This window comes from Homo sapiens, chromosome 2 (assembly GCF_000001405.40).
Source record: "Homo sapiens chromosome 2, GRCh38.p14 Primary Assembly".
NCBI classification, from domain to species: Eukaryota; Metazoa; Chordata; class Mammalia; order Primates; family Hominidae; genus Homo; species Homo sapiens.
The window spans coordinates 29139006-29165481 of record NC_000002.12 but is presented as its reverse complement, the minus strand read 5'-3'; the positions used below and the strand labels follow the sequence as shown (position 1 = coordinate 29165481).

At 37.0% G+C, this 26476-nt stretch overlaps 1 protein-coding gene across 16 annotated transcripts in view; it reads right to left on the bottom strand.

The window, feature by feature from the left end:
- Positions 1-26476, bottom strand: part of CLIP4 (CAP-Gly domain containing linker protein family member 4) — an 86083-nt gene that overhangs the window by 18327 nt on the left and 41280 nt on the right. For 14 of the 16 annotated variants that reach the window (XM_005264562.3, XM_011533110.2, NM_001287528.2 and 11 more), the window contains 7 exons: positions 21537-21773; positions 20115-20250; positions 12654-12797; positions 9039-9128; positions 8135-8278; positions 5015-5149; positions 1528-1651 (listed from right to left, as the gene is read on the bottom strand). In XM_005264562.3, the coding sequence (XP_005264619.1) occupies positions 1528-1651; positions 5015-5149; positions 8135-8278; positions 9039-9128; positions 12654-12797; positions 20115-20250; positions 21537-21773 (1010 nt within the window). Of the gene's footprint in view, positions 1-1527; positions 1652-5014; positions 5150-8079; positions 8279-9038; positions 9129-12653; positions 12798-20114; positions 20251-21536; positions 21774-26476 lie in introns of those variants that run through there. The other 2 variants (NR_109844.2, XM_047445851.1) reach the window with 2 other exon arrangements.

Sequence of the window (26476 nt, the reverse complement as noted above, 5' to 3'; positions counted from 1 at the left end):
TACCTGGGTTCAAATCCCCAGCTGGGAGCACAGCACATGTCACCCCTTGTGACTTACTTTCCTCATTGAGGGAACATGGTGCCTGCACCACAGGGTTACTGGAGAGCAGTAAACAGGTTAATACATGAAGGGCCCTGCAAACAGACCCCAGCATGTATAAGCACTATTCGTAGTTACTGCTTCCTTTTCTTCATTTATAAAACAAATACAAAAAAAAAAGAAAGAAAGAAAGAACAAACCATCTAAAAGCAAGGGCTTACAGAAAAAACAATTACAAAGTAACACACCTGGGCTGAGTCCAGCTCCTTGGCTAATTAGCTGTATGACTTTAGCTAAATCACTTATCTCTTTGAAACCCGTTTCTTCATCTGCAAAATGGGAATGATCCTAATAACTTACAGCTCGCAGGGTCTGGGGGAATTAATGAGGTATGCATCTAAAGCACACTGTACAGAGCCCACCCACTCACTAAATGCTCAACAAATGTTTGTAATAGTTATTATTCTCCAGCTTACCTGATCAATATTAGGATCAAATGAAACAACACTTAAGTGAAAATACTTTATAAACTACAAAGTATTGTATGTTAAATTCTGTTATCACCATAAATATGAAGAAAATTATGTCAAGTATATCATAGAAGGAAATTAATACTAAACAAATATGTAATGATTCACTCAGAAAAAGAAATTGAGGGAGAAATGGATGTAAAACTTCAATCTGCCAGGAGATAGTCACAACAGTCTAGTTGTAAGGGAAAACTAGACAAGACTCCCAGATTGCGATCGTAGGTCTAGTCTCATGAATGTGATTATGCCATATATGTTATCTCTCATTTAAAGATTAGTATCCCATTTCCCATCCGCTAAAAGGCACACCAAGCAGCTTCTTCCAGAGCATAAGAGAAGCCATTTCACATAATGATACCTGGAATTTTATGAGGACTTTGTTTCTGCTCAACTTATTTTTTAAAACCGGATGAGGTGGTATGAAAGATACTATCTTAAGAAGAAACACCAAGGAGATATATTATATAAAAATCCTTGAAGTTTCACTTCCCCCAAAGATCTACTGCCTATCTATTTTTGAAAACTAAAGAAATCAGAGGAAAAAGCCATTTTGGTTCCATTAGGTTTGTAGGAGAATGAATGGGGTGCCTGCTGGCAGGAAATTTAATGTAGTTAGGATGTGACTGAAGCAATCAGAGAGCATTTTTACTTTTGTTTGCATGACAGATTAAGCTTGCTGCTCTCACTGTACTTAGCTGCAAACGCCACTTCTAATAGCCTACACATACTCATAGGGTTTGCAAATGAGGAATAAAGGAGGTTTTTAAAATTGCAAATCCTCAGCAAAGCAAATTTAGCTTTCCATGAGCCTTCTCTCTGAAGAAGGTGGTTGGTTAACCCCTTGAAAGAAGACATGAGCTACAATCAGAGCATATCTTTAATATAAAATTAGTGTCTCTATTAACCACTGCAGATTACAAAAAGTTTCTGTAAATAAACATAAATTTCATTCTCTCACCTTTGCACCCTGGATGGGGGAGCAAATATTCCATATCTTGGAGAACAGCTAAAATACTGCACACCTCCAACTGAACCATCATTCTTGCCATGGGGTTTTTCAAGCTCTATACCATACCAATATCCTAGAACATGAATATTGCATTTCAAAAGCATCTGTACTTTATCCAAAACTCTTATGCTACTATACAAAACCAAAGTCGAGGTGTTTTAACATTTCCATAAATGACCAAAATGAGGGAAGATCATGATACTCATTAAGATTTCAAATTATAAAATTGTAAACTTTGAAAATTCAAAAAGTGAACAGGAAAAACATTTTACAAGCATAATTGCAGAGCAGTACATTAAAGGAGGAAAATAAAATGCACAAACACAAATTTGGCAAGAATTGGCAATTGTGTAAACAGTATATGACCAAAATATATCTAAAAGCTGCAGTGAAAAACTGTTCTTGACTTGGTAATATAGTGTTTCAGTGAAAGAAGTGAAACATAATATTGAGATTTAAAAATCATAAAATGAACATGCAATCTTTTCATCTTACTCACCTAACATTAGAACACCACAAACAGTGCTCAAATAATTAAAGAAGGACAAAAATATTATAGAAAATACCACTAGACATCATGATGAGTGCTTTTTCTTTTCTTTTTTCCACCCAAGGTAAAAAGAAAAATCTTTTTTTTTTTACCTAAATGAAAAGGTTTAGGTTAGCTAATAGGGAGAATTATTTTAAAGACTTTTTGTATTTAAAAGGACCTACTCTGAAGGAAATAACAGGATTTCCTTTTCTAGACAGCCTAAAATTAAAGTAGCAAGGTTGCTTTAAATGTGGTTTTACCCAATATAAGGTAAATGGACACAAAATCCTAAAATAAGGATTTTCTAATTGAGGGTGCCTCAAGACCAATTAGAAGTATCTAGTAGTCCATTTACTTGTGATTTAAAAGGAGTGTACAGTAGTAATTGGATTTGGTCTCTTATAATCAGTATCAAGTAAAAAAACAGGAGATAGATATCAAGAAACTTATTACAAATTACAAAAATAGTGTTTCTTCCAGATTACTAGTTCAAAGAGTTAATTATATGCCTTCTAAAAAACCAACTCACAAGTTCTTAATTTTTTTCCTCTATGTATAAAAAGATGATACCTGAGTCCATTTCCTACTATGTAATACAAGTAATGTTACAAAACTATTGTTAAGCTGCACTAACGCTCTGAACATAGGTCATCACATTTCCACATGTCCTAAACCAGGTTAGTCTGGTTGCCACTGTTATTTCTCAGTGCTACAGTTACAATTTTCCAAGTTTTACTTGCTTCTGCCTTTTATGCTTTCCTATATAATTTTTGCATTTTCCCATTTTAATTTACCATATAATTGCTAATGTTAACCATGTAACTCTTGGAAACATGTAGCATACAGCAGAAATACATATGACAAGTGTTAACAATAAAGACTACACTTTGGCAGTGGTGTGGTATGGATATCTTCCCATTTAAATGTTAATTTTCTTTCCAAGGTGGCACTGATAAAAAATGCTGATGAGACCAAATATGACCTCCCTCAAATCTAGATCTTATAACCTCCAAATACTTAAGATATTACCACTGTTCTGTAGCAGTGATTAATTTTTAATGCTACTACTTCCTTACAGGACAGAATGTTTTTAACAAAAAAGTTTCCACTTTTTATTATATTTGCTTACTACTTCCCAAATTTCTAAATGCTTTACATTAGGAATTTAAAAACTGAAATCAACCTAAAATGAAGAATTATATCCAAAGAATCAAACCATTCTATCTTGGTTTAATAACATCAGAGAAAGGGAACTCAAAAGACAAATAGTAATTGTAAAAAAATAACCTACCTGTGCGGTTAAGTTTTTATTTGAATCCTATATTAAGTATATCCTAACTAATCTCAATTACTACCTGGAGACCTAAGAAAGTCATGAATTATAAAACACCTAACTCAAATCACGCAGTTGGCTTGCAATTATAAGTGGTATTAGTGAAACAAGACTGTGTTGGGAGACAGTCGCCTATGGTCCTGTCATGTTTCCGCATGTCTTATGGGTAGAGGCAGTGACTACTTTCGTTCTAGACTACCTTTTCATAAACATCTGTATAGGGGACAGCCTTGGAGGATAGAGCTAGCATCTCCCACCAGAGCAAATGGCAGGGATGTGTACCATAAGTTCAAAGATTCAGATTCCCTAAGCTCTAGGGTCCTCTCCTGGAACAAAAAACACTGGCTGTGCAGGTGACACCTGGCTCGCTCGCTCTCACCCTGTGGGAATTGGCACTAAGGGAATAATAGTTCAAGAAAATGCTGATACTCTGGCTACTGCTATGACTGTGAGTACTAGAGTGCTTTGTCTCAAACCTGTGATGACTCTAGTACTCACAGTATCTTCCACCAACATCTATGAAACTGTGGCAGGCGAATTTGTTAGCTTGCAAATAGGGTAAAATCTCAGATCCCTCATAGTTCTTGGCTAAATGCTACAAACTTTTTTTTTTTTAATCAATGTTCTAGATAACCTTTTCCTAAAATGCTGCAATGCCACCATGTGTTAAAATAGCATATTGCTATCTAAACATACAAACTTGGTTTTGTTCAACCGACTTCTGTTTAAAATTATAATCATTGACAACACAAAAGAAAGCAATCTGGCTGGGCACGGTGGCTCACACCTGTAATCCCAGCACTTTGGGAGGCCAAGGCGGGCAGATCACCTGAGTTTGGGAGTTCGAGACCAGCCTGGCCAACATGGAGAAATACCATCTCTACTAAAAATACAAAATTAGCGGGGCGTGGTGGCGCATGCCTGTAATCCCACCTACTCGGGAGGCTGAGGCAGGAGAACCGCTTGAACCCAGGAGGCAGAGGTTGCGGTGAGCTGAGATCATGCCATTGCACTCCAGCCTGGGCAACAAGAGCGAAGCTCCGTCTCAAAAAAAAAAATAGAAAGTAATCTTTACTTTTGGAAACAATGTTACGTATAGATTGGAATGAATATATAAATACACAAACATGTATTTTTAAGGGCCCCAAAAACATGTATTTTGAGCCCTTTTGTGTGCTTTTCTCTGCAAGCCACTCTTTTAAAAAGGTATACAATTAACTCATTATTTACTACTTATTTTAAAGATTATCCGTAGCAAAAATCTAATCCTAAAATGTTTGCCTGTCACTTAGCACACCCAGCAATCAGTAAGAGTAAAATTGGAGAATGACAACTAATTTTTAACACCGACCATTTAAAACACAAATGGCAAGAAAAAAATGTATGGGTAACCATCCACGTGAGTAAACAGTCTGAGTTTTCATCATCATTTCACATTTTCTGTACTATAGCTGCCATCCACAAAAACTGTTCATCAAGATTTCTCTACAATTAAATTCTATTTACATGTAAAATTTTAAACCTTTTGTACTCTAAAGAATTCAAGTTAAGAAAATATGCAGATGAGTTACCTGGAGCGAAGTTTGTTGTCCCAAAGAACCTAATGGTGCCCAGTCTCTGTCCTACCACTAACACTCTCTCTCCGAGGCGGAGTTCCCCCTCGCAACGGCTATTATTTGCTGTAGATGTTGCTGAGGAATTCAAACCTGTTTAAGTCAGGGAGGGATACAGGGGCAGGGCAGGAAAAGAGGAGAAAAAACAAAGGGAGAAAAACTCAAAAAGCACATTAGCCAAAAAATCACACTAGGTATTCTAACTAGTCTAGTTAGTTGGTGATTTTGATATCTGATGCCTTTCATCACATAAGTCATCTACAGTTGTGTTTCTCACATGTGAGGTCAAGCTGCTCAAAGGAAATGTGAAGAGTTTCCTGGGAAAATTACTGCCATGGGAAATTCACAAAACCTGATCCCTGGTAAACTACCAACTCTTCCAAGATTGCCTGCAGCATCTCTACTAGAACAGGGGTCACAGCAAACTGTTTCTGCAAATTGCTGGACAGTAAATATGTTAGGATTTGCTAGCCATACCACCTCTGCCACAACTATTGAACTCTGCTGTTGCAGCATGAAAGTAGATATAGACAATATATTTTTTTCAAATGTGCATGGCTGCATTCCAAAGAACTTTATTTACAAAAACAAGTGGTAGGTCAGATTTGGCCCATGGGCCATAGTTTGACAATTTCTATTCTACTAAAATACTAGAATTATAGTATTAATAGTTCACTTAGACTCAGTGTAAATTATATAAAAAGTCATGTGATTTGACTTTTTTTTTTTTTTTTTTTTTTTTAAAGAAACAGGGTCTTGCTGTGTTGACCAAGCTGGTCTCAAACTCCTGGGCTTGAGTGATCCTCCCACCTCAGCTTCCCAAAGTGCTAAGATAACAGGCATGAGCCACTGTGACCAGCCAAAAGTAGTGTGATTTGAAGGTTAAATTGCTATACGGTTCTAATTATCCTAAAGTGATTTTGTTATTAAGAACAAAACCACTGCCCTGTCAACCTGATTCAAAACTAAACCTTGAAATGCCCACTATTAAACATAGAAGTCCTAGAGAAATATGATCTAGAAAGCTGTTCAAATATAACAGCTGAAAGAGAAGAAGTGGGTGCTTGAGCCTTGTCCCATCAGTACATAAACAAAGATTTGAAGAGCTGCCATCTGAGAGGGAGTAGAGAACTCTGGAGGAGGGCATGGGATGGAGGGTAAGTCATACTGTGAAAAAAGAAGAAATCAAAAACACAGCAACTAAACAAGGAAAATAAACCCATGGAGAAGGTCTGGATTATACCAGTAAGTCCGAGGCCCTCATCATAACCAATATTCTATAGCACTTCATAGTTTACAAAGTGCTTTTCCTAAAAATTATGCTGAAAAATAAGATACAAACTCAGGAATTAACTAAGACACACTGTTAACAGCCAGTAAGTGGTACACCTAGATTAAAACCAAGACTCTGTGATCAGAAATCCTCAGGCCCGTCCCCTTGTCGCCTGTAGACAATGAACCAAAGATGGCAAGTTCAACAGTGGGACACAGGCTGGGCATGATGGCTCATGCCTGTAAATCCCAGCACTTTAGGAGGCCAAGGTAGGAAGATCACCTGGGTCCAGGAGTTGAAGGCTGCAGTCACTATGATTGCAACACTGCACCCCAGCCTGGGCGACACAGCAAGACCTTGTCTTTAATAAAAAATAAAAAGTAAATAACAATGGGATATGATGAGGCCGAGGTCCCTACCTTTCCCATTCCCCGAATCCTTTATTTCCACTCTTCTTTCTCTAATTTTTTAACCTAACTTTCCATTATTGTTCGTTCTCTGCAGTCTACATCTCCCTCAAATGCAAATCTATAAAACAAGTGGAATATCTACTCACTAGAGAAACATGTTTTAAGTACATGTCTCTGGGGTTCCCAACACAGACTTTCCCATATCTCCCATTCTCGGCCCATCTCCCTCTTTGAAAGGTCCTCTTTCTCACTCTGATAACTCTCTTCATCTTCACTGTTGTTTAAGTCGACATAACCCTCAAATTTATTTTTTTAAATGGTAAATATATAGGCACGCTAGACTACTTTGTTTAGAAGGTTAAAAAAAAAAAAGTAATTCCATACCCATGTATAAATTTTAAAATCAAGTAAATGTCAAAAGTGCAAATACCAAATGAAGGGGGCCTTAAAATGTGAATGAAATTTGGACAAACAGGATGGCTGTGTCAGCACTGTACCTTCTCACCTCTGCTCCTCACAACATAAAGAAAAACTGGTTGGGGTATGGAGAGAGGAAGCCACTCAGAGAATAAATATTCCAGGCAAACAATTTCAGGGAAAACTTTCAGGTTCTCTACTTTTAGGGTCCCAGTTTTTAGGCTTATTATGTCAATGTTATTGTTGAGAGCTTTGGAGGTTTCTTCCCATCAAGTATTTTTTTAGAAATCTGTCATGAATATTTTCCATAATAAAATGTTGGTTCACTACAAGAACTATTAATAGAAGCACTAAAAAAAGAATCTGGTAATAAAGAGGTTCATGAAGAACGTATTTTGCCAAGATGGCTTTTGCCTTTCTGGACAAGTTCGCTATATAGGCAAATAAGTGAACTGCAACAGACAAAATCTATGTCATTTCGAAAAGAAGTCTGATAAAGTGTTTTACGTATCTTTACAAATAACTGAAGAAATGTGGACTGAGTGAGATTATGCAGGTTCACGGCTAGTTAAAAAGCCATATCAAAACTGGCTGGTATTGCCATCCTGGGAGAGGACCCTCTGACCTTCTCCTAGGTTTTAAGCAAACATAGTTTTAAAACAATCACTTGAATAAAAACACAGAAAGCATGCTTTTTAAATATGAAGATGACACAAAGGCCTGTGAAGAAGCTAAATTCAGATGAGGTAAAACCACTAAGAATGAATTACATGAAAATAAATGCAAAGTCTTATATCTGAGACGGCAAAACAAAGAGACCTTAAGGCTTAAGGTTCGGGGGAGGTGGGGAAGAGTAAAAGTAGTTCAATCTGATTGAAGTAAAGGGTTCCTTCTACACATTTAAAAAGAGCAAATCTACTTACAAACAAACCAAGATAAAAAACACCAAGAAAGCCTGGTTGAAAAAGCCATAGATACCAGCACTGGCTCTGGATGAAAGGGAAGGGCTTTTGCTCATTGTCTTCTTGTTACTGCTGATTGCATTCTGTTTCTTGGGGTAGCTCTGTCTGTGTTCCAAAGAAGATGTAGAGGAGCAGCTGCTGACAGATCCAAGCAGGGCAACTGTAACAGATAAAGAACGTGTCAAACGGTGGAAAATAAGATGTGGACCAAGAAGCAGCTTGTCAAGGCAAATCTTTCTGAAATTCTTCATTTAACTTCCTCAATTATGGATTATCTAGTGTCAAATTAAATGCCTAATTTCATCCAAATAGCAATTGTAGTTTATATATAAAAGATTTTATAACACAAGCAATAATATTTTAAGGATTCCCACGGTAAGATCACAATCTTATGTAAGAGGTATCACCACATCAATTGATGTGAACTGACTACCTAATCTAATGACCATCAGTCACCTCTCACCTTAGATGACATAGTAGAGTCCCCTTTTATACAAAAATTAAACATGATATTAATATGTTTTAAGGCAACAAAAGTTTAATATTAAGACATTTTGAGTTAAACCAGAAGGCAAGAAGGAATACTCATGCTCAATTCATCTAATGATTTGATAGCTAAAGGCAAATGAAACATTTGTGTAGAGTGCTCTATATTATGGAATTTCCGTTTATTTTCTTAAATCTAGTCCAGTAGTTATCTAATTTAAGTAAAAGAATCATAATGCAGTACTTTACACACAAAAAATATAATGTATATAGCTTGCTATGAGCTGCTTCAGTGATTTCCAAGTTTAATTTTTACTATAATTTTTCCCTTGCCAACTTTAAAACTTAACCTCCATATAAACTGTTTTCCTACCATATTTTAAAGTTCCATCAAAAGTTAAATTTTGAGAAACAGAGGTTACAAGGTATATTACCATCTTTCTCTGTCACAGTTTTAAGTTCTTCACCAGGAGGCAATGAAAGTGTTGACTCAGAAGCACTATCTTTTTTTGATGTCATTAATCCTTGGACACAAAAATAAAACACTTTAAGCAAGAATTTTAACATTAAACATAAAATGTATTTTTTAAAGTACATGCATCCCTCATTATCGAAATCTCACTCACTTCTGAAAACATATTGGATAACAACTGCACAGACATATGAGGACATGTTTTGGTATAAGCACTAGCATACGAGAAGGAGACAGTAACAGTGGCTACAAAGATCAATTAATGTCTCATCAAGATGATCACATTCTGAGATGGGTCCTAAGGGACAGGTCAGATTTCTTCCTGAGAATACTAGCCGTATGGTCAGGAAGAACTGAGGGCAGGCATTCTTGATGGACAAAAAGAAAATCTTAAGACACAGAAAATAGTGAGTAGCTTGGCTGGAACAGAGTACTTATGAAATGTAGGAAAAGCAAGACTAGACAGACAGGTCACAGTAACACTTCAGACAGGGATGCCAGTGCCCAGCTAAGGACTGAGAACTCTTCTGTAAAGAAGGAGCCTCTGCTGGGCTTTGAAAAGGAATACTGGCATGAACAGAGTCTAGTTAAATAACACTCTCCTGACAGCAGGGCTGCAACGAAACCACAGCGGGAGAGGCTGGAAGCAGGGACCAGTCAGACATTATTAGCATAGTCCAAGCATGAGAGCCTGAACTCCAACAGCAGAAACTGAATGAAGAGGGTGGAGAGGAGACATTTTGTGAAGGCAACCTGAAGAGTAAATTTTTATTTTTCATTACATTTTTCAGTTATAAAATATTTTCTTTAAAGTTTTTATAAAAAATAATACAAGGAGATTCCCTGTACATTTTGACTAGGTTTCCTCCAAAGGTAATGTTTTGCAAAACTGTGGTATAATAAGTATAATATGTCAACCAGGATGTTGGCAGTGATACAATTCACCAGTCTGAGATTTCCACAGTTCTGCTTGTACTCTTGTGTGTGTGTGTGTGTGTGTATACACTTGGGTGTATCATTTGGTTGTTTTTCATATCTTCTATTTCTTGGCTGAAACTTTCTTTTCATTTGTTTCAAGAGTGTTCACGTTTGATTCTTTTTTTTGTTCAGAAACAGGGTCTTGTTCTGTTAGCCAGGCTGTAGTGCAGTGGCACAATCATAGCCCATTGCAGCCTAAACTCCTGGACTCAAGTGATCCTCCTGCCTCAGCCTCTAGAGTAGCTGGGACTACAGGTGTGCACCACAATGCCCAGCTACACCCTTAATTCTTGGAGTGTGGTTACATTACTTAAAATCTTTATGTGTTCATTGCAATGTCCATGTCATCTCAAAGCTGCTATGCTTGGACTGTCTTTTTCCTTGTAAGAGGTGTTGACTTTTTCATATTTTGGGTAATTTTAAATTGTATCTTGTGTCTTTTGAATATTATGTATGGACACTGGAATAGGTCTTGTTTAAATCCTATGGAGGATGTTGACTGTTTCATTTTAGCAGGCAGTCAACCCATGTAGCCTCTGGGCAGAAGTTCCTGACCACCCTCTGTGCACTGTGGTTCTGATGTGGGTTCCGCTTCCGCAGCCTCTGCAATGCTGTTTGAATTTGTCTCATGTGCTGTGCAGCCCAGTAGTCAGGCTGGGACCCAAGCAGTGGTCTACCAAGGAGACCAAAGGCTTTGGTCAGATCCATGCATACACCACTTGCAAGAAGACCTAGGAGTTCACAGCCAAAATTGTGAGGCCTCTTTCTTGAGTCCCCTCCTCTCTATGATTTCCCTGACACTTCCTGCTCCTGGGCATCCCTTCCCGGTATTCTGAGTAGAATGTCTAAGCTTTCGTTTCCTTGCTCTGTCATACAATCCTGAGACTGATTGTGCCTCTGGGGCCAAGCAGTGAGAAAACAGAAGAAAAACCAATGTGGATTCCATCTATGTCCTTGGACCAAAGTTTCTCTGGTCAGAGACATGGATTTCCCTTCCTTGGGGTTTCGGGTGCCTGCCCATTCACAGCTGCCCATCCATACCACGTAGGACTGCCTGGGGACTGGATGGGAAACAAGGGAAAGAAAAGGCAAGCAATAAAGATAACAGGTGATTTCATCCACATTCTATCTAATAGGAGACCCCTTTTCTGCTCCTCAGACCAGAAATAGAGGGGGCTTCTCTTGGAGCTTTCTGTCTATATTTACCGTATACTTCTGGGCTTCAGGTTAAAAGGATGCTACTTATAATGCCACCAAAAAGTATGGAGTACCTACCAATAGACCTAACAAGGCAGATATAAAATACCTGTAGAAAAAAATTACACAATTTTGTTGGGATATTTTCAAAGGGCCTAATTAAACAGAAAGATATTCTAAACTCATAATTTAAAAACTGACTATTGTAAAGATGTCAGTTCTTTCCCATTGATTTAAGCTTCAACTAAAACATCAGATAAAACCTCAACAGAATTTTTAAAAGGAAACTTAACAGTTTATTGTAAAATGTATACGGAAGGGTGATTTATAAAAGCCCCAAATCAGCAAGACAATGATCAAGAATGAGATAGGAGGTTTTCCACTACTGGACATCAAGATTTATTTTTAAAAACTACTTATTATGGAGTGCAGTATTGACACAGGGATATTCAAATAGCCCAGTGGAACAGAATATAAAGGCCAGCCTAATTCTTGGACAAATTCCTTTCATCCTGGTAGAGAGCTTTCTACCTCAACTATTTACAAATTACCAAGTGTTTATTGAGCACCTGTTTTGTGCATTGCTACAGTGAAAACAACACTACAATTTACTCTCATGGTTCAGTTAAAGTTTAAAATTTTGCCGAGAGAATAGGACACTTGCACAAATAAAGCAATCCGAGGACAAAACCCAAGATAACAAATAACAATTGGGTGGTATGGATAAAAAAAGCACATACAAAGTTAGGGAATGAGGAGATTAAAGTGAACTAGAGACAGGATATGAATAAGAAGTCGAAAAAAATGGTGAGGACCTCAAAAGGCAGAAGTCAAATTACTGCACACAGATAAATAGCATGAGACAAAGTATGAAGGGAGGAGTAAGAAAATGTACGTAAAAGATGGGGAAGAGATACGATAAACCGTTCTCTTCCATAGAACTCTTCCATAGTTCTTCCATAGAACTTCCATAGTTCACCTATGGAAGCCGTGTGAGACTCTATCAATAAAGAAAGAGAGCCGCAACTGCTAGTTTCCCGAGTCAGGACTTTTTTTTGGTAAAAAAGAAGTCACTAAACATCCTTCAATAGGCAAGGAGCCTAAAGCTAGTTTTGTTCCATAAAAATTTGATGAAAGTATGAAATCTAGCCTTGAGGATAGATTATGTGTGATAAAGGTATGGAGACAGTAAAGAGAAAAAAGGAAGGAACAAATCTGAAATACATTTGTTAGGAACTGAAGTCATTAAAATTGAGGTTTAAAAACACATAAGATGCAGGTTTTATTAAATTCAGGTTTCAGAGTTGGCTAACAAAAAAAAGTGAAGCAATCTAAATATTAGGAATTCTACAAATAAAATTAAAACACTGAAGCAGATGGTTAACTTTCTGGTTTGACCTACCAGTATTTACTTTTGACGTCACATGAGCTACGTCAATTTTCTGGGACCTGATGAGAGGTACAGCAGCTTTTGTAGAAGGAGTGTGTGTTATATTCTTCCTTCGACCTTTTGCTTTACTTATCTTTGAAAGAGGTGCAAAAATACCTAAGGGAGAATGCAGAATTTTAGTGTTAAACAATTAAAACATTTCAAATAAAGGAACAAGTACAACTAATTAGTAACATAAATCTTTAATATAAACCTTTAGTGCCCACTGCATGTCCTATGATGAGAGGAAAAAAAATGTAAGACACAGTACTTACCCTCAAAGAGCTTACAATCTAGTTTTCAAGACTAACAACACGTCAATAATGTAAGAACCACATTTCAGGTGTTAAGTGAAATTCAGGAGAAAGAGAAATGAGTAAAGGTAATATTGATAGTTTTCTATCATTTTTTTTAACCTTTACGGTAACTTTTAAGAAATGTCTGTATTGTATTTGAAGACTGTTTGCCATAAATCTGAAATTTGAACCTATGTATTTCAATTTGGTTTTCTATCATTTCTAAGCAATTGGCAAATAACAGTGAGCCATAGAGCATAAAAATCTATTCTTCCATGCCAACTTACAACTCCTTTGGAAGTTATATTTATCCCACATTATAGCTTTTTATGTCCATGTCTTTCTTATCTCTCTTCCAGACTAACACCTTTTAAAGACAAAATTTAAATGTTACTTAACTCTGCATTCCCCCACTGTACCTAATTACAGTGTGTTACACATAGCAGGGATAAAATAAATCTTTCTGACTATAAAATATAATCTTCCTAAAAGGCCTGGCCCTCAGGTCCTGACAATCAGAAACAATACAGTGTACTTTGGGGAGGGGAGCGGCAGGGGCAGGGGGGTTGCCTATCTGCAGCAGCTGGGAGTACAAAATTCCACCAAAAAGGAGTTTATCCATACAATAAAATAACCAGCATACAAAGTATGCACCGACATTAGAGATAGTGAATACAGACTATAAATACCGAAATAATCTGGCTAAGATATTTAAAAAGTGAAAATAAAGCCATAATATGTATATTACACTCTTTCATTGAGTGTTTACAATCTAGCAAATATACATTATGACTAAAATGGAATATATCAAAAACAACTTGTTTTAAAGCAGGGTAGAAATGCTCGAGACTCTGTAAGAAGTGAGTGCTTTGTTAATAACTAAAAAGTACCAACTACACTACTTTCCTGCTAATCTTAAAATTCTCTCCCACCTCAGAGTCCATACTACTTTATCCTGATTTTCTTATCTTTTTTAAACTTATTTACAATGTTCTCTCTTCTGTCTCCTACCTATGAGATTTTCCATGACTTTCTATTCTTTCTCTAAATTATTTTCCTTCCCTAACACACACACACACTCTCTCTCTCTCTCAAGCCTGGTGATAATGACGACGATGATGATGATTACAACCAGTGTCGGCAAGGGTTTGACGAAAGAAATTATTTTATACTCTGGGAATGTATATTTGTATGATCTTTTTAGAAAACAAAAATCTTGACCTAATCCACTTTATAGAATTAATTTTAAAGAAATAATTATATTTAATGGTATGACAAACGTTACAAGGTTTCATCTGTATACTAAAAGAAAAAAATACATTTCAAGAGGTGACACAATTTCTACTTTACTACAATGACCCAATCACACTTCTGGAAATGAATCATGAGAAAATACTCTAAATAGGAGGAAAAGGTTGTATATCTGAATATGTCATCACTGTAATATTATTCATAAGTAGGAGAAAACATAATTGCCTGCCAATATGATGAATGAATTCACTATATCCATAAACCACTATATCATTATAACATTATAAGACAATAAAGATTATGTAGAAATATAGAAAAATATGAAAAGTAAATCAGGCCAGGCGCTGTGGCTCACATCTGTAATCCCAGCCATTTAGGAGGCCGAGGCAAGCGGATCACCTGAGATCAGGAGTTCAAGACCAGCCTGGCCAACATGGTGAAACCCCATCTCTACTAAAAATACAAAATTTAGCCAGGCACGGTGGTGCGTGCCTGTAATCCCTATCAGGAGGCTGAGGCAGGAGAATCGCTTGAACCTGGGAGGCCACTGCACTCCAGCCTGGGCAACAGAGTGAGAGACTGTCTCAAAAAAAAAAAAAAAAAAAAAAAAAGAGCAAATCAAAAAAATTAAGTTATGTATTTGATTACATTATGTGAAAAATTGTATGTGTGAATACAGGCAGCAGGCAGGATTGGAAGAAACCTAAAATAAACATTTATAAGAGAAGTCAAGCTATGGAGTCTTTTTCTGATTTGTTTGATTTGTGTCATTAATGTCATAATAATGTTCAATAAATTATGTTTTTCTTCATGTCAGGGAAAACGTGTGGTTTTCTGAACAGCAGCAAGTTGAAGGGCCAAAACCTAGATCAGGAAACAGTCACTGAAGGACACTTTTCAGTATTAGTAAACCCTCTTACGATGATTAAAAGAGAAGGGTAGCCCTCTCCACCTTTTTGTACTTTCTCTTCAACTTCCACTGACCATAAAATGTTTCTCTTCTGAGTAACCCCATCATTTGGTGAACCTTCCCCCTAACAAAGTGGGATGGGGTAGAAGGCTAAATTAATTGGAGTGGGAAGAGGAGACACCACTGGAGGCAGCAGTGCTGGGTGGAATTGCCTAGGATGTAGCATGTTGGCTTTCTCTCTCTTTCTCTTCTCCCTTTATTATGTAAGAGCTATTTCATTTTAACTTATTATGGTGATCACACAGGCAAAAAGACGAAAAGGAGAGAAAATGTACCTCTTTTACTGGAATAATGTTTATGATTATAAGTGAATAAGGTATTTTTATCAATATGAAGGCAACTTTGGCTGATATAACCTCTATCATGACTACTGACACCTTTACTTCACTATCAATAATAAATATATTTTCTAACAAAAAAATCTCACCAGGAAATCTCTGTAAGCTAAAGTATATTTGTGTATTAAATTAAATATTTAATTCTATGGCTTAAAAAGATTTCCGTAGTATATAAAACTTCATCTATATAGTTTGCATTCTTCTTTTTTTTTTTTTTTATTAGCCAAAGCATTTCAGAGAACCAAAACTAAATGTAAAGCAATGACTGGATGCATAGCATATGGGCGGCCTCTATTACTCAGTTACTCAGGCTAACTGAAGTATTGATAGGACTTTTCTCAAATCTCGACATGTAACTGTAAGGCTTAACTAAAAACAAACACATGATGAATTATTTGGAAAGACAAAAATAACAAATTTCCAGATAAACATGGCCCACTGAATATAGGTTTAACTCCAATTCTTCTTCTCCAACCCCCACTAAAATATCGGTAAGGAATAAAAATGGTATGAACTCTAAAGAAAAAAAAAAAAAAGAAAAGGAGAAAAAATACTAAACGCTTCCAAGAAGGAGGAAAGGGTCAAAAACAGAAGATGGAAAAACCTCTACCTACTTTTTGTTTTTCCTTTTTCATTTTATACTAAATAACCTGTACAACAATACTTCAAAACATCTGAACAGCAACACTGGAAGCTCAGGATAGTAGTTGGTAAACTATGGCCCAACAGCCATATCCTGGCTACTGCCTGTTTATTGGTCAATTTTTATTGAACCGTAGCCACGTCCATCTGCTTACACACTGCCTATGGCTGCCCGTTTACTACAACAGCAAAGCTGAGTAGCAGGTACAACAGAGAATGCATAGCCCACAAGGCCTACAACATTTACCATGCGGCCCCTTACAGAAAAAGTCTGTCAAACTCTACCTGAGACAATAGAGTATCTCCTTAAATATACTGAGAGAATATGAAATCCAATCTAACTTTCCTCATCCCAAATTATCACATAAAGTTTGAGGGGAGAAATCAACATGTGTTTAGAATAGAAGGTCTCAACACATTTACTTCTCATGAGTCCTTTGTCAGAAAGCTACTGAAGGACAGGCTATACCAAAAACAAGTCAACCAACAAACTGCTACATTGGGTTTCATATTCTCTCAGTATATTTAAGGTAATACTTTGTTGTCTCATGTAGAGAACTAAATCTCTCTCTTCATAGTACAAACTCACTAGATGTCTTGAACTGGAAAAATCAAGAGAGATTCACGTAAATATATTAGTTACAAATACAGATATTAATATCAGACAATACAGCTAAAAGAGTTGAAAAAGTTCTTGCCTAGTTCTAAGGAGCAGGATTTGAGGGCAGAGAAAAACAAGCTAAGAGACAGTTTTGTAATAAGCCTTGCCGTACAATCTGACTTGAGTAAACTAAGTATATGTATTCACTTTGGCAATTATTAAAAGACATAAAAACAGTAATACCACCAAGTATTAAAACTTATCATTTTCTACAGTTAAAAAAATCTAATAGGTATGAGAATTAACAGATCAATAGAACAAAATAAGCCTGAAATATACCATAGCATTGATAAGAACTTAATCTATAATAAAAGCAGCACAACAAGCCAAAGGGAAAAGATGATAGATTTGGAAAGAGAGAAAACCATTGTTGAGAAATTCCTTGGCTTCTGATTAGCCAGGGGATTCCCCAACTCCCCTCCCCTCCACCTTAAGTAGCTTAGCCGTGACCTGGGGCTCCCAGGGCTGTCAAGGGCTATACCCATTTTCACACAATCCAACACATGACCCCTGCCCCACAACTTGCCTTTGAGTACATACAAGGGGACGGGGGTATCCAGCTTTGTGCCAATCAAGCACGCCTCCCCTTGGGATAATGGGAGTTTGGGAGTCCCCATGAGTTCTGCTGGCAATCTAAATGATTCCATAATTCTGATTTACCTCTGCCCTATGTGTTGCTAAAGGCTTTTGATCCTGCCCTTAATCTGCTTGACAGGTGGCAAAGTAATCTATCGGAGGAAAATTAAAATTAAATTCTTAACCTCAAACTACTAACCAAATAAATTCCAAATGGATTACATAATTAAGTATAAAAATTAAAACATTTACATTACAGCTAGACAGGAGGAATAAGTTCTAGTGCTCTGCAGCACTGTGAGGTGAAGATGGTTAACAACAATTTATTGTGTATGTTGAAAAAGCTAAAAGAGAGGATTTTGAATGTTCTCAAATGATAAATGTTTGAAGTGATGAATATCCTAATTACCCTCATTTAATTACACCTTACATTACACAGAAATATCATTCTGTACCCCATAAATAGGTACAATTATTTGTATAAATACAAATATTTAGTGCCAACTATAAATAAAAGGAAAAATATAAACATTTAAAGAAATATAAAATGTATAATCCTTAGATTAGGAAGAATTATCAAAGCATAAAAGTAATATAAGAATTGATAAAAGTCTTTAAGCCATAAAACTACATGTCCAAAAAACATTGCAAATGAGGTTCAAAGGCAAATGACAAGCTAGACAAAATATCCATAATAAATAAAGCTTAATATCATAAGTATGTATTTTAAAACTCATCCTTTTTTAAAAAAGACACACTAATATCCCAATTTTTACTGGGAAAATAATACAAACAGGCAATTGCCAAGAAACATAAAAAATACCTATACTACAACAAAACACTTTAAAAAGTGTTCTATTTCACCACAATAAGAGAAATACCAATTAAAATATAGAAATTTTCATCTGTCAAATTGGAAAAATTAAAGGAAATGGAGCTATTCAAAATCAAATTTTCAAACAATATGTAAAGATTTGGGGAAATTACACTAGGATATTAAATAAAAATGCAGAATTTTTACTTTCCTCTTGTTTTCAAATCTTATACAATCAGCATTTTTATAAACAAACAAAAAAAGTTTTAATAGACCAAAAAAATGAGATTCCATCCTAAGTGTGTGATGAAAGGAAACTAGTTAATTTTGATAAAAGCGTGATAGCCAACAGCTCTCATCTGTTGAGTGCTTACAGGGAATCATGCACTGTTCTAGGTGCTTTATACTTTTACCAACACATTTAATTCTTGCACTAGTCCTTATGATAGTGTCATCCCTATTTCACAGAAGACAACTGAGGCACAAGAAGAGAAAGACAGTCACATAGCTGGTAAGTAAAGAAATCGAATCACACAAAAGCAGTCAGACTCCAAAGTCCATCCGCTTCATCATCATCATCATACCACACCACCTCACCATCAGGCCACAAGATGAATACTACACAATCGTGGAAAACAATGTTCTAAAAGAATATTTCATTTCAAGGAAAAGTATTCACAACATAGTAAGTGACTACAAAATCAAATTGAAATCAATAGACAGGATAGGTGTGTGTGAGAGAGAGGAAGAATAAATTTACCTAAACATGTCAGAAAGAATTTACTTAAACATTTGTCAGAATTTACTTAAACATTTGTCAGAAAGAGAAAGAAACCTCGCAGAGTTTCAAAGAAACCTCAGGAATGCGGTCATAAAGTTGGCCTTGCTTGATTTTTCCAGTTTTCCAAGTTCTTCATGACCTCCAGAGCTCTGTACTTCCTTGATAACCAAGTCCCTCCCTTGGCCACAACACTACTAGGTGCAGGATTTGAGGGAGGTCTGCAGAGCTGGGCGTGCCCCTGGTCAGAGGCCTTCTCCCAATCACTATACTGCTGGCAGCAAGAATCAAGGGCAGCCCAACAGCTCACAGCCTACTAACGAAAAAACCCCTCTCATCACTGTCTCCCCACTAAAAGCCACCCAAGAGACCAGTCCCAAGAAAGACACTTTCCCAAAAACATCATTGAGACAATTCCATCAGATGCCCTCTTCACCAGTCACTACCAGACACCCTCCTAAACCTTTCCATCATGGCCTCTGAAATTCATGGTTGGCCAGGCACAGTGGCTCATGCCTGTAATCCCTGCACTTTGGGAGGCCAAGGTGGGCAGATAACCTGAGGTCAGGAGGTCGAGACCAGTCTGGCCAACATGGCGAAACCCTGTCTCTACTGAAAATACAACAATTATCCAGCCATGGTGGCAAATGCCTGTAATCCCAGCTACTCGGGAGGCTGAGGCAGGAGAATCGCTTGAACCTGGGAGGCAGAGGTTGCAGTGAGCCGAGATCGAGCCACTGCACTATAGCCTGGGCGACAGAGCAAGACTCCGTCTCAAACAAATAAATAAATAGTGGAAAGCTGCGCCTGATCTAATGCAAGGCTAACTCTTATACTGAAATCCTTTTCCCTTTCAAGTTTTTCAGGACTTTCCTCCTGGAAATGTCCCCTTTCTCTCCTGCAACCACCATTTCTCCCTCTCACGTCGCCTCTCGTCAGTGTAAATAAATATAACTATCTCCTATCTTTAAAAAGTCCTCCCTACATCCACATGCCCCTCATTTATCACATAAGAAATCAGGAGAAAAGTTTTATTTAACAACTGTAAAAGAGTAAAACTTGATTATTTTTAATTAATTCTTACCGAGTTAAATAATATCAACCTTACCATACTTGGGGGCACATTTAAAGTACTGGACTTTTCCAACACTTCCATTATTTTTTCCTTCTGGTTCATCCAGTTCAATGCCAGCCCACTGCCCACTTGCAAATTCAGTTGTTCCACAAAATCTTAATGTACCAACCTAAAGAAAATATAAACCAGAATAATTTTGGGGAATTATTAGTAATTCCAAGGGTCCTACTCTTGCAACTTTACTTCACCATGGGAGTTTTTAAAAATTCACTCTCTCAAAGTGAATTTTAAAAATTCGCTCTCTCAACATTACCTTTTTATGCTTGGTAATGTTCCTTGCTCTCACTTCAGAGCCAGGAACATTACCAAGGATGAAAAAGAACATTAAATAATAATAAGGGAGTCAATTTCCAAGAAGACATAAGAATCCTAATTAGCTGGATAGTAGCACACACCTGTAGTTCCAGCTACTACAGGGGCTGAGGCAGGAGGGTTGCTTGAGCCCAGGAGTTCGGGGCTACAGTGACCTATGACTGTGCCACTGCACTCCAGCCTAGGCATCAAAGTGAGACTCTTCTCAAAAAAAAAAAAAAAAAAAAAAAGGGATATAACTATGTTGGGAAACTCAATATCCAAGCAGGAATTCCCTGTTCCATTCTCCATACCAAGCTCCCTATTAACCTCAATATTAAGAAAAAACTGAAGGGACAGGGCTAGGGGAGGGATAGCATTAGGAGAAATACCTAATGTAGATGACGGGTTGATGGGTGCAGCAAATCACCATGGCACACGTATGCCTACGTAACAAACCTGCATGTTCTGTGCATGTATTCCAGAACTTAAAGTATAATAAAATAATTAAAAAAAGAAAAAACAAGAAAACCTCCCATATGAGATATTTTTAAAAAGCAACTGGCAATAAATGAATACAATATGGAAACAAAAGCTTGGGAGGAAAAAAGGTGTCTGGATGATGGGAGTAGGAGTCCTCTTTTCCACACAAATCCTTATCACCAGGTTACATAATATCTCAGACTGCCCTATTTGTGGGAACCCAAAGACAAACACCCATGAACAGCAAGGGTCTCCTGTGCTCCATTTCTATGGAGGAGCAGCAGTCAGAGAAGTACCACTGGGGAAAGAGGGGACTGCAAAGATAATCCTCCACCTTAGATCATCCCTTAGCTCATGCTTCTAAATTCACTCAAGAGTTCTACTCCACTCCACTCTTTATTCAAATAAAGATGTCTTCTTTATTAAGTTCAAGTAGTTTATATTCTTAAAGCATAACTTAACAGTAAATTCATATCTAAGTTTTACATTTTCCATTAAGCATCTTTCTACCTACATGTTGAACCTTTTTCAAAAACTCAAAACTCTGACCATACTGTGTCCTTGAACATAGGTCATGGACATAACAACCCTGGCTTCAGAGATTGCAGTTACTTACTGTACCTTCTGTCCTGCAATAACAACACGATCCCCCAACTTCAGGCCAAGTGACGTAAGCATTGCCTTGCCAGTGACATGATCATAATTTGGGAGCATGGCCTTTGAGATGTTACATGACAGAGGCACCGCATCTAGAAGCATCTGCTTGATTTCCTTAGCAGTGGCTGCGGCGTCAGCCATCTCTAACGGCATATCTACTGGGTCTGGAACAACATCAGCAGGGATCTGTCCTTTGTCATTCTACAAATAAAGATAAGAGAAAAATGTTCAACTCTTACTTAGAGCACTAGAAAGTCATATAAAATTTCTGTTGGAAGAACTTTACGTTAAATTCATTCATCATTTGTTTATTCAAAAACATTTCCTGAACGCCTACAATATGCAGACACCATTCTAGGTGCTAAAGATCCTACAGTGAAAAAAACACAAGCCCTGCCCTCAAGGAACATTACATTCTGGTGGGAGAGATAGACCATACAACATTAAACAAGTAAATTATATGTGGCATAATAAACAGTCATAAGTGGCCTGGAGGGAAAAAAAAAAAACAGGGAAGGGGAATAGGAAATGTGGAGACAGAGATGGTTGTAGGGGAAACTCTTTAGATTAAGTGGTCAGGGAGGCCTCACTGATGAGATGCATCTCCACAGAGATCCAAAGCAGACCAGGGAGGAGCTGTGCAGGTTCTCTGGCAGGGAAAAGCAAGGCGTCCATGTGGGGAGCGGTGCTCAGGTCCTAAACGGAGAGCATTCTGCCCGCAGAGGCATGAGAAAGCAAGCTTGGAAACAAAAGTCACAGGACTGACGCTTCCCAGCCCCAGATCCATGGTTCCAGAGCTGCCCTCTTGGCTCTGTGACCTCAGCCCCCTGCCCATTCATGGGGTAACTCAGATTTCAAAACTAGAAACTATGGTTTTGATACTACTAAAACCTGGGCTATAATCAAGAAAAAAGCTCTGTTTTCACTATGACAGAAAGACTGTATCCTGGGATTTGTCCTGTGACAAGATAAAATGGCCAATGACAACCCCACGGTCATTTGCATGGTATATGTATCATAAAAGCCCTATCATATGAATTATCTGTCATCTTACATTCCCTAACCAAAAACCTTAGACTTCATGAGAAATAATTTAGATTGTAATCTTCTTTTAATATAAAGAATAAAGATACTTTTGTTAACTGAGAAACTTTTTTCCCTTTCTTCACTGATACAATCTTCTTCAAATGATTCACATGGAAAAATGAACGAGGCTTTTAGAACACACTTAGTTTGCAATTGCTTCGCATTTTTTTGTTTTAAAATTCAAGTCAGGTTGGTCCTTAGTAGAAATATGGCAAGAAGATATGTTATTAGATGTCTAGGATGGTAATGGACTCTTCTAATCCCAGATTTCAAGAAAACATACAAAATACAATAAAGATATGTGTTACACTAATGTATACTCTCTAAAAAACAGAGAGAGAAAAATAGGGAAACATAAAAATTTTTAAAATACACCCAGGCTAAGTTGTAAGCTATGCTTACAGTGAATATTTTACTTTGGACTTTTGTTATATCCCCACTTTTTGGAACCTGTCACACACTTCTGTTAATTCCCATACAATTCAACAATCGAAACTTCTGTTAAAAAAAAAAAACCTAAATAATAGTAAGAATAATAAAATAACAATGACGATATCTTCCTAAGACAAGAAGGCTTATTCATGATCAATTGTGGAATTCCACTTTCTTCTAAAGTGGTGGCATACCACCAGACTGGACCTATAAAAGACGATTAAGGGAGTTCTACACATGGAAACAAAAGAATAAAACTTGCTACCACAAAAGCATACTTAAGCACATAGTCTATGTTCTTCATAAAGCAACTATACAATTGAGACTAGGAGGCAACTAGCTAACAACACGACAACAGGAACAAAACTTCACATTTCTATATTAACCCTGAAAAAGGTTAATAAAAGATGATTAAGAGAGTTCTAAACATGAAAACAAAAAAATAATACTTGCTGTCACAAAAGCATACATAAGCACATAGTCTATAGACTCCATAAAAGCAACTACACAATCAAGGCTACAAAGCAACTAGCTAACATGAAACAGGAGCTCAACTTCACATATCAATATTAACCCTGAAAATAAACAGCCTAAACACAGCACTCAAAAGACATAGAGTGGGAAATCGGATTAAAAAAAAAGAAGACTTGTCCTTCTGCTGTCTTCAAGATACCTATTGCACAGGTAATGACACCCATAGGCTCAAAGTAAAAGGCTGGAGAGAGATCTATCATGCAAATGGAAAACAAAAAGGAGCAGATGATCACTATTAAACATACTTTAAGCCAACAACAGTCAAGAGGGACAAAGTAGGGCATTACATAATGATAAAGTGTTCAATTCAACAAGAAGACTTAACTATCCTAAATATACACACACCCAACACTGGAGCACCCAAATTTATAAAGCAATTACTACTAGACTTACAAAAAGATGTAGATAGTCACACAATAATAGTGGGTGACTTCAACACCCCACTGAAAGCATTAGACAGATCAAGGCAGAAAACTAACAGAGAAATTTTGGACTTAAATACAGCACTTGACCAGTTAGACTTAATAGGCATCTAAAGAATACTCCACCCAACAACCACAGAATATAAATGCTATTCTCATTTGCACATGGAACATACTCAAAGATTGACCATGGTCATAAAGCAAGTCTCAACAAATTCAAAAAAATCAAAATCACACCAAGAATCTCTTGGACCACCGTGGAGTAAAAATAGAAATCAATACCAAGAAGAGCTCTTGAAAACCACACAAATACATGCAAACTAGAAAACTTGCTCCAGAATGACTTTTGGGTAAACAATGAAATTAAGGCAGAATTCAAAAAAAATCCTTTGAAACAAATGAAAATAGAGACACAATATACCAAAACCTCTGGGATGTAGCAAAAGCAGTGTTAAGAGTAAAGTACAAAACGCCTGTATCAAGAAGACAGGGAGGTCTCAACAACCTAACATTGCACCTAAGGGAACTAGAAAAATAAGAACAGACACTCCTCAAAAGAAGACATTTATGCAGCCAAAAAACACATGAAAAAATGCTCACCATCACTGGCTATCAGAGAAATGCAAATCAAAACCACAATGAGATACCATCTCACACCTGTTAGAATGGCGATCATTAAAATGTCAGGAAACAACAGGTGCTGGAGAGGATGTGGAGAAACAGGAACACTTTTACACTGTTGGTGGGACTGTAAACTAGTTCAACCATTGTGGAAGTCAGTGTGGCGATTCCTCAGGGATCTAGAACTAGAAATACCATTTGACCCAGCCATCCCATTAATGGGTATATACCCAAAGGACTATAAATCATGCTGCTATAAAGACACATGCACACATATGTTTATTGCAGCACTATTCACAATAGCAAAGACTTGGAACCAACCCAAATGTCTGACAATGATAGACTGGATTAAGAAAATGTGGCACATACACACCATGGAATACTATGCAGCCATAAAAAATGATGAGTTCATGTCCTTTGTAGGGACATGGATGAAATTGGAAATCATCATTCTCAGTAAACTATCGCAAGGACAAAAAACCAAACACCGCATATTCTCACTCATAGGTGGGAATTGAACAATGAGAACACATGGACACAGGAAGGGGAACATCACACTCTGGGGACTGTTGTGGGGCGGGAGGAGAGGGGAGGGATAGCTTTAGGAGATATACCTAATGCTAAACGACGAGTTAATGGGTGCAGCACACCATCATGGCACATGTATACATATGTAACTAACCTGCACATTGTGCACAAGTACCCTAAAACTTAAAGTATAATAAAAGAAACAAAATAAAAAATAAAAATAAATAAATAAAAACACGTTAAAAAAATAAATAAGAACAAACTAAACCCAAAGCTAGTCAAAAAAATAACTAAAATTGGAGTACAACTATATGAAACTGAAACCAAAAAAGGCATTCAAAGGATCAGCAAAATGAAAAGATGGTTCTTTGAAACAATAAGATTGACAGACTGCTAGCTAAAGAAAAAAGAAAGATCCAAATAAGCACAATTGGAAATGATAAATATGACATTACAACAATCCCACAGAAATGTAAAAGATCCTCAGCAACTACTGTGAATACCTCTATTCACATAAACTAGAAAATCTAGAGGAAATCTAGAAAATCTAGGAATCTAAATTCCTAGAAACACACAACCTTCCAAGAACCAGGAAGAAAGTGAAACCCTGAACACACCAATAATTAGTTACAAAATTGAATCAGTAATAAAAAACCTACCATCCAGAAAAAGCCCTGGACCGAATGGATTCACAGCCAAATTCTACCAAACATACGAGGAGGAGCTGATAACAATCCTACCAAAATGATATGAAAAAACCAAGGAGGAGGGATTTCTCCCTAATTCATTCTATGAAAGCAGTATCATCTTGATACCAAAATCTGGCAAAGACACAACAAAAAAGAAAACTACAGGCCAATATCCCTGATAAACACAGACACAGAAAACCTCAAGTTACTAGCAAACCAAATTCAGCAGCATACCAAAAAGATAATTCACCGTGATCAAGTCATGCAAGGAGGTTCAACGTATGCAAGTCAATAAACGTGATTCACCACATAAACAAAATTAAAAACTGTAGGATCATCTCAATAGACACAGAAAAAGCAATCAATAAATTCCAACACCCCTTCATGATAAAAAAAAAAAACCTTCAACAAATTAGGCATTGAAGGAACATACCTCAAAATACTAAGAGCCATCTATGACAAACCCACAGCCAACATCATACTGAACGGGCAAGTTGGAAACATTCCTCCTGAGAATTGGAACAAAACAAGAATGTCCACTGTCACTACGCCTATTCAACATAGTACTGGAAGTCCTAGCCAGAGTAATTAG